General features: G+C 43.2%; 1 protein-coding gene and 1 pseudogene across 5 annotated transcripts in view; both read right to left on the bottom strand.

Moving 5' to 3' along the window:
• Nucleotides 1-18,157, bottom strand: part of BRAP (BRCA1 associated protein) — a 43,811-nt gene that overhangs the window by 23,802 nt on the left and 1,852 nt on the right. For 2 of the 5 annotated variants that reach the window (NM_006768.5, XM_005253944.5), the window contains exons 2-5: nt 17,199-17,360; nt 15,690-15,888; nt 13,204-13,393; nt 6,714-6,827 (exon numbers count right to left, since the gene is read on the bottom strand). In NM_006768.5, coding sequence (NP_006759.3) covers nt 6,714-6,827; nt 13,204-13,393; nt 15,690-15,888; nt 17,199-17,360 — 665 coding nt within the window. Of the gene's footprint in view, nt 1-6,713; nt 6,828-13,203; nt 13,394-15,689; nt 15,889-17,198; nt 17,361-18,157 lie in introns of those variants that run through there. The other 3 variants (XM_017019992.2, XM_047429622.1, XM_047429623.1) reach the window with 3 other exon arrangements.
• PCNPP1 (PEST containing nuclear protein pseudogene 1) lies at nt 984-4,432 on the bottom strand (annotated as a pseudogene).

Below are 18,157 nucleotides of genomic sequence, written 5' to 3' on the forward strand. Positions count from 1 at the left end.
TCTGCCCACCTCAGGCTCCCCAGTAGCTGGGACTACAGGCATGAGCCACTGTGCCAGGCCTTTCTTCTTTTAATAATAGTTTTCTAGTTGCTTTTTTGACTCCTGGCAGGATATCCTCAATATCATTACTCTAAGCAAGTAATTTAAATTGGTAATATTTTCATTCATTTATTCATTCATTCAAGAAACAGGGATGGAGTACCTCCTGTGTTCCAGCACTGTGCCAGGTACTGGGAGTACAGCGGTGAACAAAACAAAGATCTCTGCCCTTACAGAACTGACATTCCAGGAAGGGAGACTGCTGTCAAAACCTTAACATATAAATCTCAAATGTGACCAGACTCCTAGCTCAAGCTCTAAGTGTCTACGACTATAATAGAACACAAAGGAACAAAAGAATAGCTGGACCTGAAGGATTTTTCCATAGAGTAAGTTATAACTTAACACTTTCTACTCAGTGATGACAGCACCAACAACACTGATTTTTCTTTATTCCCTCATTGTACAGATAGAGATTGAGCCCCTGCTATGTGCAGCAGACAGACACTGTTCTAGGTGTGGAACAGTGGTGAGCAAAAACAGATACGTTAAGTCCAAAAAACAGTCAGCTCCTGCCCCCACAGAGTTTAGAATCTAGTGGAGGGAGAGACAAAAATCAAATTAAAAAGCAAACAGTACAGGAAGCCACAACAGGGTGTGAATTAGGGGGCATGACAGTCTAGATGGTCAGGAAAGGCATTCCTAAGACAGTGCTTGACTTGACGCTTCCAGCCAGAAGACGAGAAAGAATTACTTAGGCAAAGGTCAGGGAGCACACACTTATGGACAGAGAAAAAGCACATTAACCTACAGTCCCTGAAGAGTAGATACTTACAGGAAATCTCTCAAGAAGCCACGTTCATTTAAGAAAGGAATCTCTAAAACTGAGGCCTCGTGCAGCAGCCAGCACAAAGGATGCCCAATTTTATCACGTCAATTTTTTTTTGAGTTTGACAAATTTATCGGTATTTTAGTAAAGACATTCATCTCAGTTGTTTCTCTCTCCCAGCTTGACCTTAGGTTAATATTTCATTTGGGTCAAGAAAAGAATATCTAGGAGAGGTATGTTAACAAACAGGAAAATGGACAAAAATTGATAGTTTGCCTACATTAAAGTAAGTTAAATTCATGTATTTTGATATAATTAAATCATGTAAGAACTAAGAGTTCTATATACATTTCCATTGTTTTACTTGGGGCTCATTCTAAACTTAAATGCTAGTGAACAAGTGTTAGGAATATACACAGGATGCTTCTCTGGAGTTATTACCAACTAAAAGAGCTCAGCGAGCAGTTACCACCAATAAAACAGTCTGAAGCTGCCTCCAAATATAATATTGTAGGAGTTTTCAAGGAAATGTTTATACTGTATGCTTCTTTTGTCTGTGACTATGCTTTTAAAGATGTGTTTAACTGTCACATTAAAAAAGATGCCGGGCGGGGTGGCTCACGCCTGTTAAGTCCAGCACTTTGGGAGGCCGAGGCGGGTGGATCACAAGGTCAGGAGTTCAAGATCAGCCTGGCCAAGAGGGTGAAACCCTGTCTCCACTAAAAACACAAAAAATTAGCCGGGTGTGGTCGTGGGTGCCTGTAATCCCAGTTACTTGGGAGGATGAGGCAGAGAATTTCTTGAACCCAGGAGGTAGAGGATGCAGTGAGCTGAGATCACACCACTGCACTCCAGCCTGGGAGACAGAGTGAAACTCCGTCTCAAAAAAAAAAAAAAAAAAAAAAAGCTCATACACAATACAAAAATACAAAAACTAACACCCTACAATATACAAATCTCACAAAGTATATGTGGTGAGATTCCAAAAAAATGTTTGAAGATGCATTTTCTTTCCTTCTACTCCAGTATCTAAAATGTGCTTTTTGAGAGGCCATTGGTCAACATGTATACATTTAAAATCAACCATGTAATTTTACTAGTAAGAAAGCTGGGGCTGGCACGGTGGCTCACACCCGTAATCCCAGCACTTTGGGAGGCCAAGGCAGGCGGATCACGAGGTCAAGAGTTTGAGACCAGCCTGGCCAACGTGGTGAAACCCCATCTCTACTAAGAACACAAAAATTAGCTGGGCATGGTGGTGCATACCTGTAATCCCAGCTACTCAGGAGGCTGAGGCAGGAGAATCACTTGAACCTGGGAGGCATAGGCTGCAGTGAGCCGAGACTGCTCCAATGCACTCCAGCCTGGGCGACAGAGCAAGACTCCGTCTGGGTCGGGGCGGGGTGTGGGGGAAGCCAGTAGTTAAGTTCAATTTAAATTGGATTCACAAGTTAGTAATTTAAATCCTCAGACAAAGTTACAGAAAGTGTATCTTCTTGTTTTCCATCTTCATACAATGTTAATTTTTTTTTTTTTGGTGTTTATACTTTTTAAAAAAATAAAAATAGTCAAATGCTTAATATGTACATTTAATTTTTTGGTGGTGGTTTGTATTTTAAAAGAAACAGCTTCCTTATGATTTGGCTCAAGTTCTGGTGGAAATGCTTACAGCAACTAGCTAATAAACAAAAAACAAGAGAAGCACATTCGAAATACTGATTTACTTTGGTAGCAAATGGTTTTTCTTTGAAGACAAATGAAGATACACAAGACCCATTAAGGTGAAGTGGGCTATTTCAAATATTCAACAGTTTACATTAAAAAGAATTCTTTTTTTTTTTTTTTAATTTGTTTTTTTTGAGACAGAGTCTCGCTCTGTCGCCCAGGCTGGAGTGCAGTGGCACAATCTCGGCTCACTGCAAGCTCCGCCTCCCGGGTTCACGCCATTCTCCTGCCTCAGCCTCCCGAGTAGCTGGGACTACAGGTGCCCACCACAACGCCTAGCTAATTTTTTGTATTTTTAGTAGAGATGGGTTTTCACCATGTTAACCAAGATGGTCTCGATCTCCTGACCTCGTGATCCACCCTCAACCTCCCAAAGTGCTGGGATTACAGGCGTGAGCCACTGCGTCTGGCCAAAAAAAATTCTTTTAAGAGCTAAGCATCTGTATCCACTGATAGCAATGCAATACCTACTTTATGATGACTTGAAACAAAACAAATGCCTATAAGGAAAAAAGCTGCATTTTAATTTTATCTAAATTTACGTTCAGTCAATAGTTAAGTAACGTTTTCCTCCCAATACTCCCTGTCTCTAGAAGGCTGTTCCTGGGAGCCAGACAAGTTTAGGTAATAAGGGAGTTAAGAGAGTAACTGCTTACAGTTTTAAACAGACAATAACTATTTGCTTCTCTCTCTTTTTTTTTTTTTTGAGACGGAGTTTCGCTCTTGTTGCCCAGGCTGGAGTGCAATGGTGTGATCTTGGCTCACCGCAACCTCTGCCTCCTGGGTTCAAGTGATTCTACCTCAGCCTCCTGAGTAGCTAGGATTACAGGCATACGCCACCATGCCTGGCTAATTTTGTATTTTTAGTAGAGACGGGGTTTCTTCATGTTGGTCAGGTTGGTCTTGAACTCCTGACCTCAGGTGATCCGCCTGCCTTCGCCTCCCGAAGTGCTGGGATTACAGGTGTGAGCCACCATGCCCGGCTTTGCTTCCCTCTTAATGTGTTAATAGTTGTCTCTAAAAATATATGCAATTCTTAAAAAGGTACCATTTCTGATTTATTATCTGTAACCTTTGGAAACTAATCACATGAAACTACAAAATTAGCAAATGTCTTGAAATCTGTATATAAAACATAAATTACCTCTAATTTTGAACCCTAACTTATTAGTGTACAGCTCAATATTTAAACAAAAAATGAAAGAGAAAAAAAAAGTGGCTCCAAAAATAGTCTTATACCATTCTTTAAAAAAGGAAACTGTTCCTTTTAAGTTTACACCCACCCCACACCCCAATTTCAAAACATCGTTTAATTGTCTTGGTCATTGACATTTCCAACATAAGATTTTATATTTCGCTCCCATAGCTTCTGGTTATCAAAAAACCCATGCTTTCTTTTATTGAAGGAGTTTGGTCCAGCTGATGTTGGTGTATCCCTTCCAATATTCTTCATCTTCATCTTTGCTTCTGGAGATTTCCTCTGGTTCACTATCTTCATCTTCATTAAAAGCTGCTGCTCCTGAAAAAGTGCTTGGAGCAAGAGTTGGAACAGTTTCTTTTGGCTTATTTGATCCAAGTTTGATGGATATTGTTGATGCTTTCTTTGTCATCCAACTAAGGCAAATCCAAACTTGGAGATCACTGTAGGCTTTGTTGGGAGGTCTGCAGCTTCTTCTTCATCTGACCGTTTCTCAATGCTGCGACTGGAACTTTCCCCTCCATTACTGGAAGAAACAGTTTTAGTTTTCACAAGTTTTTCTGCCTCTTCTTCAGGTCCTCTGGCAGCTCCAGCTCGCTGAGACTTTTCAGCCTTCTTCTCTCCCATCCAACATTTTCCCCCGCCACCCACTTATCAAATTTTGATTTCACCTAATCAAATGCTAAAACAATCTACTCAGAACTAACTTCCATCAAGCGGATCTCAAAGTAAAAAGACCTTCAGGTCTACTTAATTTTTTAATTTTGTTTTTTAGATGGGAGTCTTGTTCTGTTGCCCAGGCTAGAGTGCAGTGGCGCAATCTCAGCTCACTGCAACCTCGGCCTCCGGGGTTTAAGCAATTCTGCCTCAGCCTCCGGAGTAGCTGAGACTACAGGCATCTGCCACGACACCAGGCTAATTTTTGTATATTTAGTAGAGATGAGTTTCCTCATGTTGGCCAGGCTGGTCTCAAACTCCTGACCTCAAGTTATCCGCCCACCTTGGCCTTCTAAAGTGCTGGGATTACAAGCATGAGACATCGCATCTGGCCCAGGTCTAATTTAAAATAAAAGAAATCTGGCCGGGCGCGGTGGCTCATGCCTGTAATCCTAACACTTTGGGAGGCCAAAGTGGGCCGATCACCTGAGATCAGAAGTTTGAGACCAGCCTGGCCAACATGGCAAAACCCCATCTCTACTAAAAATACAAAAAGTAGCCGGGAGTGATGGCGCATGCCTATAGTCCTAGCCACTTGGGATTCTGAGGCACGAGAATTGCCTGAACCTGGGAGGTGGAGGTTATAGTGAGCCAAGATCACGCCACTATACTCCAGCCTGGGTGACAGAGTGAGACTCATGTCTCCAAAAAAAAAAGAAAGGAAAAAGAAATCTTAATCTTAAAATATATCTTAAAATAAAGAGCTGTATTGCTACTTTACAAAATGATTCCAGTGACCACATAATATAGGAAAGGTTCCCATGGGAGTGAAAGATCAGAGCCATCACAAATTGCTATCAAAACAGAATCAACGCCATGCACAGTGGCTCATGCTTATAATCCCAGCACTTTGGGAGGCCAAGGTGGGCAGATCACTTGAGGCCAGGAGTTCGAGACTAGCCTGGCCAGTGTGGTGAAACCCCATCTCCACTAAAAATAAAAAAATTAGCCTGGCATAGTGGCGTATGCCTGTAATCCCAGCTACTCAGGAGGGTGAGGCACAAGAATCGCTTGAACCTGGGAGGTGGAGGTTGCAGTGAGCCAAGAGAGTGCCACTGCACTCCAGCCTGGGCAACAGAGTGACACTCTGTCTCCAAAACAAAACAAAACGGAATCAAGAGGCCAGGCACAGTCGCTCACACTTGTAATCCCAGCACTTTGGAAGGCCATGGTGGGAAAAATGCTTGAGCTGAGGAGTTCAAGAACAGTCTGGGTAACAGAGAGACTTTTTTTTTTTTTTTTTTTTTTTGAGACAGGGTCTCACTGTTGCCCAGGCTAGAGTGCAATGGCAAGATCACGGCTCACTATAGCCTGGACCTCCCCCGACTCAGGTGATCTTCCTGCTTCAGGGTCCTGAGTAGCTGGGACCAAAGGTGCTCAGCATCACACCTGGCTAATTTTTGTATTTTTTGTAGAGACAGGGTTTCGTCATGTTGCCCAGCCTGGTCTCGAATTCCTACACTCAAGCAATCCATCACCTCGGCCTCCCAACTCCTGTGCTCAAGCGATCCGTCACCTCAGCCTCCCAAAGAGCTGGGATTATAGGCATGAACCACCGCGCCCAGCCAGGGTGATCTTGTCTCTAAAACAAATTTAAAAAATTAGCCAGGCGTGGTGGTACACACTTGTAGTCCCAGCTACCCAGGAGGCTGAGGCTAGCAGATGCTTGAACTGGAGAGACAGAGGCTGCAGTGAGCCAAGGTCACACCACTGTGCTCCAGCCTAGGTGACACAGCGAGACCCTGTCTCAAAAATAAAAGGCAGAAACAAGAATTAGGAGTTAATATTGAAAACAAAAACATTTATTTTCAGCTCCAGGCTTCGTTGATCTAGAATTGATAAACACTCAATTTCAACAATGCAGTATCTTTTTTCTTTTTTTTTACGTTTTTTGAAATTTTAGAAAATGAGATATTCAATAAAATTCTCTATTTTAAAGTATACAGTTCATTGGCTTGTAGTATATTCACAAGGTTGTGCAACTGTCATCACTATCTAATTCTAGAACACGTCCATCACTTCCAGAAGAAAGCCTGTATCCTGTTAGCAGGCACTCCCCATTCGTCTCTTCCTGCCCTGATAACCACCAGTCTACTTTCTGTGTCTATGGACTGGCCTATTCTGGGTATTTCACAGATACCTTAGCATTCAATTTTACACCAATCTGATATATTTTAATTAAATATAGGAACAATTCACACTTACATCTTCAGATTTGAGCACTTCAGCTCTTTCCACATACACTAGCTGGCAAACGTCATCTTCTATTGAGTTGAACTGGCGGCCATTGCATGTCATATAAAAACTATCCGCATCAGCCTATGTACACCAATGGGGAAAAGGAAAAAAATTAAGACAGATACCCTGAAAATCTGCTTTATATTCAATATGCATGGCTTTATTCATTCTCATCAGCTTTTAAAATTTATACTTAGGAGAGAGAGCAACCACCAAAAGTCACATCTACTGAAGCTGATTGGTAGGCTAATCACACTCTGTAAGTCAATATTCCATGTTTACAGTATTTCCTGGGCTACAACAGAGTTTTTACCTGAACTGGCAGAAGGTACTGAAGTGCAACAAGCTGAAAGCTGGTACAATTTTCATATTCAACCAGCAACAGTCAACATTTCCCTTAATAGCAGTTTTTTTTCCCTCTAGTCATCACTTGTGCAGCTGAAAGTAAACACTCATTTCTGCAAAGCCTGGAACCAAATAATAACTGACGCTTGTTATGAAAGAACTCTTTAAGGAAATGTCAGCATTGGGCTGGGCGTGGTGGCTCACGCCTGTAATCCCAGCGCTTTGGGAGGCCGAGGCGGGCGGATCGCCTAAGGTGAGGAGTTTGAGACCAGCCTGACCAACATGGAGAAACCCTGTCTCTACTAAAAATACAAAATTAGCCGGGCCTGGTGGCCCACGCCTATAATCCCAGCTACTCGGGAGGCTGAGGCAGGAGAATCGCTTGCACCCAGGATGCAGAGGTTGCGATGAGCTGAGATCGGGCCATTGTACTCTAGCCTGGGCAACAAGAGCGAAACTTCATCTCAAAAAGAAAAAAAAAAAAAAAAAGAAAGAAAATGTCAGCACTTATGTTAGAAAAAAATAAAAGACCAGGGGAACTGGTATGAGATGAAAAACCAACTACTCTTTAATAAACCAAATAATAATAATAATAATATATGATAGTTAGATCCCATCTAATGGGTCCCATCAGGAGGTCTTAAACCGCCACCTAGTGTCCAATACCAAAAGCAAAGCTCTTGGTCAAGGTCAAGGGGCCCAAGATGAACCAGCCTTTAAAATACTAACAGTCTCATTTGCTAGCGTTAGAAAATGGGTGAAATGTGGACAAACAGTCCCTTTGAGGCAAAGCTGCAAAGGCACATGTGCGTCTATGAAATGGACACAGGTAAACAGAACCTTCTAGTCTAGCCTTAGTAGCAAGCAATGGAGACGATTCCAGTTTTTAAACTCAGCCAATTTTTTAAGGCAAGCGGGGAGGCCAAGGCTTGTCTGGATTTTATTCCCATACGGGCATTAATCCAAACACAGAAAGTTATGTGCTTTGGCCCTACCAACATTGACAGGCTGCTTCTGGGAATTCTGCAACAGGAAATGCAGCATCGTCAACCTTAAGGAAGAGATTCAGGGCTGCACCAGGCAAAAATATTCCTGCCTGTCCACCCTCACAAGGTTCTGAATCTCACAGACACTGTAAGCTTCTCGATAGCTTTTAATTCCCCTCTAATGAGGTAATTGTGAATTCTTGATTACTTATGCTTCCCCCCCACCTTTTTTTTTTGAGATGGTGTCTCGCTTTGTCACCCAGGCTGGAGAGCAATGGCATGACGTCAGCTCACTGCAACCTCTGCCTCCCAGGTTCAAGCAATTCTCCTGTCTCAGTCTCCTGTGTAGCTGTGATTATAGGCATACGCCACCACACCCAGCTAATTTTTTGTATTTTAGTAGACACAGGGTTTCACCAAGTTACCCAGGCTCGTCTCGAACTCCTGAGCTCTGGCAATCCACCCACCTCGGTCTCCCAAAGTGTTAGGATTACAGGCGTGAGCCACCGCGCCTGGCTACTTATGCTTTCTTAACATGACCAAGTGAGCTAAGCAGCTGAGGAAGGATGATCAATTCTGAATATACTTTTATTTTGGAGGGGCAGAGTGGCAGCAGGTCGGGGTGGAGAGGCTTTACTTAAGAAAATAATCCGTGTATTGAGCATAGTGCATTACAATTTGAAAATGTTTAAAGCCAGCTGTTGGAGAAGAAGCCTCTTTAATACTAAGAGGTTACAACCTAATATGGCTTCCCCCATTCTTCAGGAGCAACGGTTTCTTGAAATGCTTTTGGCTAAGTAAGCAGCAAAGTCAGCACATGGATTCACCAGGAGAAAACGGACTGCCTGAAAGTCAGGGCCTTCTCTCACCTCTTCAGAGCCTCAGGCACCACCAGTGGCTGGTAGAGCCCTCTTGGGGTCTAGAGCTCTGCAAATGCTCACTAAACGACCAGCCTCCTCTACAGGAAAGGATAAGGCATGTGACCAAAACCATTCAATGAATTATTCCTTTCTGCTACCTGAGCCCAGGAGTTTGAGACCAGCCTGGGCAACGTGGCGAAACCCCATCTGTACAAAAAATACAAAAATTAGCCGGGCATGGGGGTGGAAGCCTGTAGTCCCAGCTATTTGGGAGGCTGAGGTGGGAGGATAGCTTGAGCCCAGGAGGTGAAAGCTGCAGTGAGCCGAGATCGTGCCACTGCAGTCCAGCCTGTGCAGCAGAGTGAGACCTTGTCTCCAAAAAAAATAAAATAAAATAAAAAAGGAGAAGAAGCATGTAGGTGAGTTGTCATGGTGGCCTACACTAGGATGATTGTGGCAGAAATGAAAAAAGTAAAAAGAAAAAGTACTTTTTTGTAATGACAACATCACTAAACAGCTGAGATTTCCCAATTAACATATTGATCTCTTCTTTAAAATCTTGGTATTAGAAATGCACCTTCACCTGTTCACATATTTTCTGAGCATCTAGTATGTGCCAGGCCCTGTGCTATGTACTAGGTAGAGAGTAGGGAACAAACTACACATGGTTCCTACTTCAACTCACCATCTAAATGCACTAAACAAAAGCCTGAAGCTAACTGCCAAGAACATTGCAGAAACAGCTTTTATTGAAAATGTTTGCATTGTGTGGACCCAAAACTTTAAATAAACCTGGCTTTTGTTTCCCTCTAGTCCTTTGGTTTTATTGTTCTCTTCTGAGGATTAACTCAGAAAAAGACAAATCCATTATGATCAAGTTCCTTCGCTGTCACAGGAATCAACTACAGTGTTGAGAACATACCTCTACTTCTCCAAGGAGGTGTCTGCTAAGGCTGTGGTAACTAAGCACGCAGGTGAAAAAAGCCAACATACTCTATTAAGTGGTCATCTGTCCTTTTCTGCCCCCAAGAACAACAAAATTGAACTTCCTTCTGCTTTTCCTATGTCCTGAAGAACTGTAAATTCTCTACCCAAAGACCAAGTTTCCTAAGGGTCACACTACAAATTGGTAAGCACACCCCCCCTTTTTTTTTGATCTTTTAAAAAAAATTTTTAAGAAACAGGATCTTGCCATGTTGCCCAGGCTGGTCTTGAACCCCTGGCCTTAAGCAATACTCCTGTCTTGGCCTCCCAAGGTGTTGGGATTACAGACATGAGCCACCACACCTGGCCTCACAACTCTTTCAGCTAAAGCTAAGGCCAACAGAAATTCAAAAATTACCAAAGATAAAGAGAAGGCTTATAAGTCCTTATTTAAAAATCTGTGGTGAGGAAAAGAATAAAAACATAGTTAGGTGCCCAGGCTATGGAGTCAGGCTGCCTAGGTTTGAACCCTAACTCTGACACCTACTAGCTGTTTGGCTGCAGGCAAGTGACTTATCTGTGCCTGTTTCCTCAACTGTAAAATACATGGCATTTTTTTTTTTGAGACAGAGTCTCGCTCTGTTGCCCAGGCTGGAGTACAGTGGTGTGATCTTGACTCACTGCAACCTCCACATCCCAGGTTCAATAGTTTCTCCTGCCTCAGCCTTTCAAGTGGCTGAGATTACAGGCGTGCGCCACCACATCCAGCTAAGTTTTATATTTTTAGTAGACATAAGCTTTTACCATGTTGGCCAGGCTGGTCTCAAACCACTGCCCTCAAGTGTTCCGCCCACCTTGGTCTCTCCCAAAGTGCTGGGATTAAAGGCATGAGGCACTGCACCTGGCCAACATGGCATCGTTGAGAGGATTCAAGGAGACAATGCATGGAAAGCACTTGGCACAGGGTCCGGTCTCTAGTAAGTGCTTCAGAGTTGGTAGCTACTGAGCCTATTATTCTCACTACAGCCGATATTAGTTTAACTTCCAGTCTTACACCAAGAGGGTATTATTAGGTATTAGAAAATCCCTGTTAGGATGATAGGGATTAGCCCCTAAGACCCAGAGTTAGCAATAAATAATACAACTCATGATACCAAGATAAAGGGTTCTAGCCCCATGGGGAAGAGCATGCAGCAACCTGTTTCGCAGTCTCAGAAAAACATGTCAACTTGAGCAACCTTCACTTGATCAAAAGACACAAGGGGAAGGATAGTGCAGATGTACAAGGAAAATTCATTCACAGTAAATATCCACAGTACTACCTGCACATTATGAAGGGCAGTACTTGTTATAGGGAACTGTGTGGGTTTATTAAACAGGTGACTGTGGTGGATTTATACGACTTCAGACTATTTCAAAAGCCTGAGTGCTCTTCAACATTTTTTTCCCAATCTATTTCTGGGTCTTTTCCTTTGTTACTTGCTTATTGCCCTAGTTGTTAAGTAGAAACTGTAACAATACTGCTGTCATAGAATGTCTCACAAACAACCGCCTCCCTTCCCCACACCTTCATCCCACTCCTACTAGAAGAGGAACGCGTCCCTGGAATTAAAAGTGAGGGTGCCACACTCTTGCTTGTCATTTATGTCTAGCTATGTAACCTTGGGCAAACCATGTATCTCCCTCTGCAGTCACCCTCCTCATCTGTAAAACAAAGATAACAACACAGTTTCCGCAAGGGATTGTAGTGAGGATTAAATGAGACAAAGTGTATTGAACACTTAGCACAGTGAGTGATACAGAAGCCATCGATAAACGTTGGATATTATCATCATTATCCTTATTATTACATGTGCTACCAGACTGAAATGGCTTAAGGCACGATTTTCCCATGGTTTGCAAAGCTCCTTGGCACCCTTGGAAGGCTTTCTGATGGACAGTGAAAGGAGCTATTCAAGTGCTTTTCTGTTCTTAATGTCAACTTGTAAACTTTAAATCCAAAGGATAATTGAAACCTTTTAAATGTCTCCCTAAATGATGGGGTACTTTGTAAACAGAAAACATAATAACTGTGTACTCTCTTGCAGACAGAACTCCACACTAAAGCTTCTCTCTGGAGATCACAGAACAGGTACACTCTTCCCCCACTAAAAAGAGAATGAGGCCGGGTGCAGTCGCTCACGCCTGTAATCCCAGCACTTTGGGAGGCTGGGGCGGGCAGATCACCTGAGGTCCAGAGTTTGAGACCAGCCTGACCAACATGGAGAAACTCCGCCTCTACTGAAAATACAAAATTAGCCAGGCATGGTGGTGCATGCCTATAATCCCAGCTACTCCGGAGGCTGAGGCAGAATGGCTTGAACCCAGGAGGTGGAGGTTGCTGTGAGCTGAGATCGTGCCATTGCACTCCAGCCTGGGCAACAAGAGTGAAACTCCGTCTCAAAAAAAAAAAAAAAAAAAATGAAAGAAGTGGGGGTAATGGAAAAATAATAAGATGGTGTTAACTTCAAAAAGTCTGGGAACCACCGCTTTTCTGGAATAGTTACCGCTTGTTTAAAAAAACAAACAGGCCGGGCATGATGGCTCACGCCTGTAATCCTAGCACTTTGGGAGACTGAGGCGGGTGGATCACAAGGTCAGGAGTTCGAGACCAGCCTGGCCAACATAGTGAAACTCTGTCTGCACTAAAAATACAAAAATTAGCCAGGCATGGTGGTGCATGCCTGTAGTCCCAGCTACTCAGGAGGTTGAGGCAGGAAAATCGCTTGAACCCGGGAGGCGGAGGTTGCAGTGAGCCGATACCACACCACTGCACTCCAGCCTGGGCGACAGAGCGAGAATTCGTCTCAAAAAGAAACAAACAAAAAAACACACTAGATTTTTTTTTTTTTTTTTTTTGAGACGGAGTCTCACTCTTGCCACCCAGGCTGGAGTGCAGTGGTGTGATGTCAGCTTTCTGCAACCTCTGCCTCCTTGCAAAACCCTAAACTTCATACTCAATCTGATCTATAAAAAATCATGGGCATGAGGCCAGGTGCAGTGGCTCAGAGCATCTGTAATCCTAGCACTTTGGGAGGCCAAGGCAGGAGGATTGCTTGAGGCCAAGAGTAGCCTGGAAAACACAGCAAGATCTCATCTCTACCGAAAAAAAAAAAAGTGTATACGTTATAATTGTATTTCTGCTAATGAATTTAGAAATACATCTAGAATTACAATTATATCTTAGAAGACATCTCAAGAATCTTAAGTGCAAAATGTTGTAAATCACACACAGCTATCATACAGTTTGAATACCACAGTTTCTGTGGCAAAGAGATTTTTAATAAATTTAATAACTTTTACCTGTGCACGAAACTTTATCAGCACCATATATTGGTTGGGAGTAGAGTCTCTGATAATTTTCATTTGTTCAATTACTTCGTTAAATGGGGCAACAAACTTCATAAGGTCATGACTGGTCATTGCAGCAGGGACTGTGAGAATACACAGCATGGCACTGCGCCGCACATCTTCTTTTAAGGAGGTCATCTTACTAACAAAAAAAAAATTAGAGTGTCTTGAATAGATGAGGTATGGTTAGTTTAAACAATACTAGACAACTTTTATGTCCAAGAAAACAGGAAAAAATAAAAATTGTAATATTTCATTAATGAACTGTTCTATATTATACCCCCCATTGGACTTTTTAATCTTCAGTTCAACATTTATTACGGTTATAAATCTGCATTCGGTAAATTTGCAGTGTTTTACTCTCATCAATGTTTGAATAATAATCTGTCACTGGTGGCCAGGCACAGTAGCTCATGCTCGTAATCCCAGCACTTTGGCAGGCCGAGGCGGGTGGATCACGAGGTCAGGAGATCGAGACCATCCTGGCTAACACGGTGAAACCCCATCTCTACTAAAAATACAAAAAAAATTAGCCGGGCATGGTGGCAGGTGCTTGTAGTCCCAGCTACTTGGGAGGCTGAGGCAGGAGAATGGTGTGAACCTGGGAGGCAGAGCTTGCAGTGAGCCAATATCGCGCCATTGCACTCCAGCCTGGGCCACAGAGCAAGACTCCATCTCAAAAAAAAAAAAAAAAAAAAAAATCTGTCACTGGTTAACTTAAAAGCACAACTCTGGCTATGGACCTCTCTTAAAAGGCCTAAAAAAACAGCTCTAAATATACGAGAGAATTCTGTCTTTTTTTTTTTCAGAGTCTTGCTGCATGGTCTCGGCTCACTGCAACCTCTGACTCCTGGGTTCAAGCAATTCTCCTGCTCAGCCTCCCAAGTAGCTGGGATTACAGACGCGTGCCACCACGCCGGGCTAATTTTTGTATTTTTAGTAGAGATGGGGTTTCACTATGTTGGCCAGGCTGGTTTCGAACTCCTGACCTCGTGATCCCCCGCCTCGGCCTCCCAAAGTACTGGGATTACAGGCGTGAGCCACCACGCCCGGCAAGAGAGAATTCTAAACCATGAGGATGTAACTGAGGATTACAGGAAGTGTTACCAAGTTGAGATGGCTGGAATAGAGAGGAAAGAAAATCCTCCCACAATGCAATTTGTTTTTTGAAATGCTGCAAACTCACTTGACAGCTGTGATCCAGAATGGCTACCTGTGCCGGGTGCAGTGACTCACACCTGTAATCCCAACACTTTGGGAGGCTGAGGTGGGCTGATCACTTGAGGTTAGGAGTTCGAGACCAGCCTAGCCAACATGATGAAACCCCATCTCTGCCAAAAAAAAAAAAAAAATTAACTGGGCGTGGTGGTGTGCACCTGTGGTCCCAGCTACTCTGAGGCAGGAGAATTGCTTGAACCCGGGAGGGGAGGTTGCAGTGAGCCAGGATTGCACCACTGCACTCCAGCCTGAGTTATGGAGTGAGACCCTGTCTCAAAAAAAAACAAAACAAAAAACAAAACAAAAAACAAAACAAAAAACAAAATGGCTACCTGAATAGTCACTGTTTTCCCAGTAGAGATCTGGCAAATGAGTTAGCACAAGAACAGCCTTAAGGTATCAGCTACCATTACCCAAGAAGGTAGTGGCTGGGCTTGTGGATTATCTAGCCAAATGCTTCCTTTCCTTGGGGCTCTAGCAAGCTTTGTTTGAACCACAGAAAATGGTAAAAAAGAGGTAATAAAATTGTAATGAGTTAACTGACTTCTTAGCAGCCTCTTCAGTAAAGATTTGGTGGGGACATGAGACTACAAAGATGCTGTGGATCATTTTCTTTGTCCTTTCAATTCCCCATCACCTTCCATGCCTATCTGCTAAGAAAACATTTTCCTGGCAGGGCGCAGTGGCTCACGCCTGTAATCCCAGCACTTTGGGAGGCTGAGGCGGGCGGATAACCTGAGGTCGGAGTTCAAGACCAGCCTGGCCAACAGGGTGAAACCCCATCTCTACTAAAAATACAAAAAATTAGCTAGGTGTGGTGGTGGGCACCTGTAATCCCAGCTACTTGGGAGGCTGAGGAAGGAGAATCACTTGAACTCAGGAGGCAGAAGATGCAGTGATCTGAGATCGCGCCATTGCACTCCAGCCTGGGCAACGAGACCGAAACTCCATTTCAAAAAAAAAAAAAGAAAACATTTTTCCCACATATTCTCTTAAGTGTATCCACAAGCATTTCTTTTATAAGGAAAAGCTTTGACCCAATCCACAAGATTAATCAAATGTAAAACATCTGAGAATTCTCTAACATACAACAGACAAAAGTATTATTATTTTGAAGCTTAAAATACCCACTTTCCTTCAGGACAAGAGACTATGCTAAAGCAAAGCAAAAAAAAAAAAAAAAAAATTGACTAACCCCCAAGAAAAGAGGGTTTTCTTACTTTGTCTTATATAGGTGCATAATACCATGAACTATTTCAACTGATGGATTTCCACTGAAGAATGAAATCTGGTCTGGAAGCTGTTTGGACGGAGAATCTGGGGCAGCGTTTATGCATTCCTTACTGTGATCTTTACTTCTTTGCGCAGTGGGGGAGGCTTCTGAAGACTTCCTTTCTTCCACTGTAGTTTTTAGTTCATCTTTCACCAGTTAAAAAATAGCAGATTATAAATGGATAGGACATATGCTGAAGGATTTGAACTAGATTAAAATTTCAAGTCAGAGGAATAAACTTTGATAGAGTAATTACAATGTAATGCATTAACAGCTATTATTTGTAGAATAGCTGAGTTTATGAGGGCATCATACTTTAAAGCTCTCTTTGCTCCATAAAAATCTCATTAACACCCTCAGAAACTTAAGGATGGCTATTACATTTGGCAATACCATAATGCAAGCAGGTATCTTCTATCACGAAATCCTAACTGGGACAAACATTCAGGGCTACTAAGGTGGAAATCCAAACCTACCAGTTCTGACCACCTCCATGTTGGAGATGTAGTACTATCTACACATCCACTTCCGCAGATAAAATGAGCTGGCTGGCCGGGTGCAGTGGCTCATGCCTGTAATCCCAGCACTTTGGGAGGTCAAGAGGTTGAGACCATCCTGGCTCACATGGTGAAACCCTGTCTCTACCAAAAATACAAAAATTAGCTGGGTGTAGTAGCGTGCACCTGTAGTCCCAGCTACTTGGGAGGCTGAGAGAGGAAGGAGAATTGCTTGAAACCAGGAGGTGGAGTTGCAGTAAGCCGAGATCATGCCACTGCACTCCCACCTGGGGACAAAGTGAGACTGTCTCAAAAAAAAAAAAAAAAAAAAAGAAAAGAAAGAAAGAAAAAATGAGCTGGCAGAGCAGGGGAAGGCACGACATGTTTATTTGGACACATTAATGATCTGCCACTGAACTAGGTGGTAAGAAATTCTCCCTGGTAGCCGGGTGTGGTGGCTCACACCTGTAATTCCAGCACTTTGGGAGGCCGAGGCAGGTGGATCACTTGAGACCAGGAGTATGAGACCAGCCTGGCTAACATGGAGAAACCTTGTCTCTACTGAAAATACAAAAATTACCCAGGCGTGGTAGAGGGCATCTGTAATCCCAGCTACTTGGGAGGCTGAGGCAGGAAGACTGCTTCAGCCCAGGAGGCTGAGGTTGTAATGACCCGACATTGCACCACTGCACTCTAGCCTGGGCAACAGAGACCCTGCCTCAAAAAAAAAAGTCCCCCCCGTCACTGAACTGAATTGTCAACTCCAACTGTTAGGATTAATTTGGAAGAAATATTTGGAAACACTAACATGTGGCTTAACAGTGTCATATAAAGCACACACGTAGTGAAAGACAAAAGTATGCTAGATGTTGAAATTGTAGGCTCATCAAACACCGTGTATAAAATAGGCAACCAGTGTTCACATTACAAAAGAGAGTCCAGGGTTTTAGAAAGCATACCTGGGTTGGACTTCATGGTCTCAATGATCACATCTGTCATTTCTCGACGGCCGAGATGCTGATGGATAATCGCTACTTTCTCTCCTGGTGACTTGCCTTCTAAACAGGCTACAGCTGAGGCTAGTGTCGTCTTTTTTATCTCCTCATCAGACATTTCCCCGGCTAAAGAACACATGAATGATTAATACAAGGTAATAAAACAAGCTCCTCTCTGTTCTCTATTCCTCTATCATTAGGTTTTCCTTTTCTTTCTCCTGCCTTCCGCCAAGATGATAAGAAGCCTTTGTAGTATCCATCTCACTCAACTCTGGGACCACTGCAGTACACAGCAAAGAGTCAATAAGCAGCCAGGACAATATACTCAGAAATGCAGGGCTGTTCTACTGAAATCATGCACTTTATTTTTATTTTTTGAGACAGAGTCTCACTCTGTCACCCAGGCTGGAGTGCAGTGGTGTGATCTTGGCTCACTGCAACCTCCACCTCCCAGGTTCAAGTGATTCTCCTGCCCCAGCCTCCCGAGTAGCTGGGATTACAGGCACGTGCCACCACGCCCAGCTAATTTTTGTACTTTCAGTAGAGATGGGGCTTCACCATGTTGGACAGGCTGGTCTCGAACTCCTGGCCTCAAAGTGATCCACCCGCCTTGACCTCCCAAAGCGCTGGAATTACAGGTTTGAGCCACTGCGCCTGGCCCAAAATCATGCACTTTAAAGCAAATCGCCAAAGAGGGAGCCTTAGAGAAGATGCAACAGTGATCATGCCCAGATGAGCTAACATTTTAGTAACACCTGATAAAATGAAATTGTGTTCAGCCCAAAATGAAGCTATCAAGTCCATTAAAAAAACAAAATTTCAAAAACTTGTAGGGGTAGTCTTAAACATCCTGGCTTATGCTCATGCCATGAACCAAGCCATGAACATCTGTGATTACTGTCTTAAATCAATGAAACACATGA

This window comes from Homo sapiens, chromosome 12, assembly GCF_000001405.40.
Source record: "Homo sapiens chromosome 12, GRCh38.p14 Primary Assembly".
Taxonomy (NCBI): domain Eukaryota; kingdom Metazoa; phylum Chordata; class Mammalia; order Primates; family Hominidae; genus Homo; species Homo sapiens.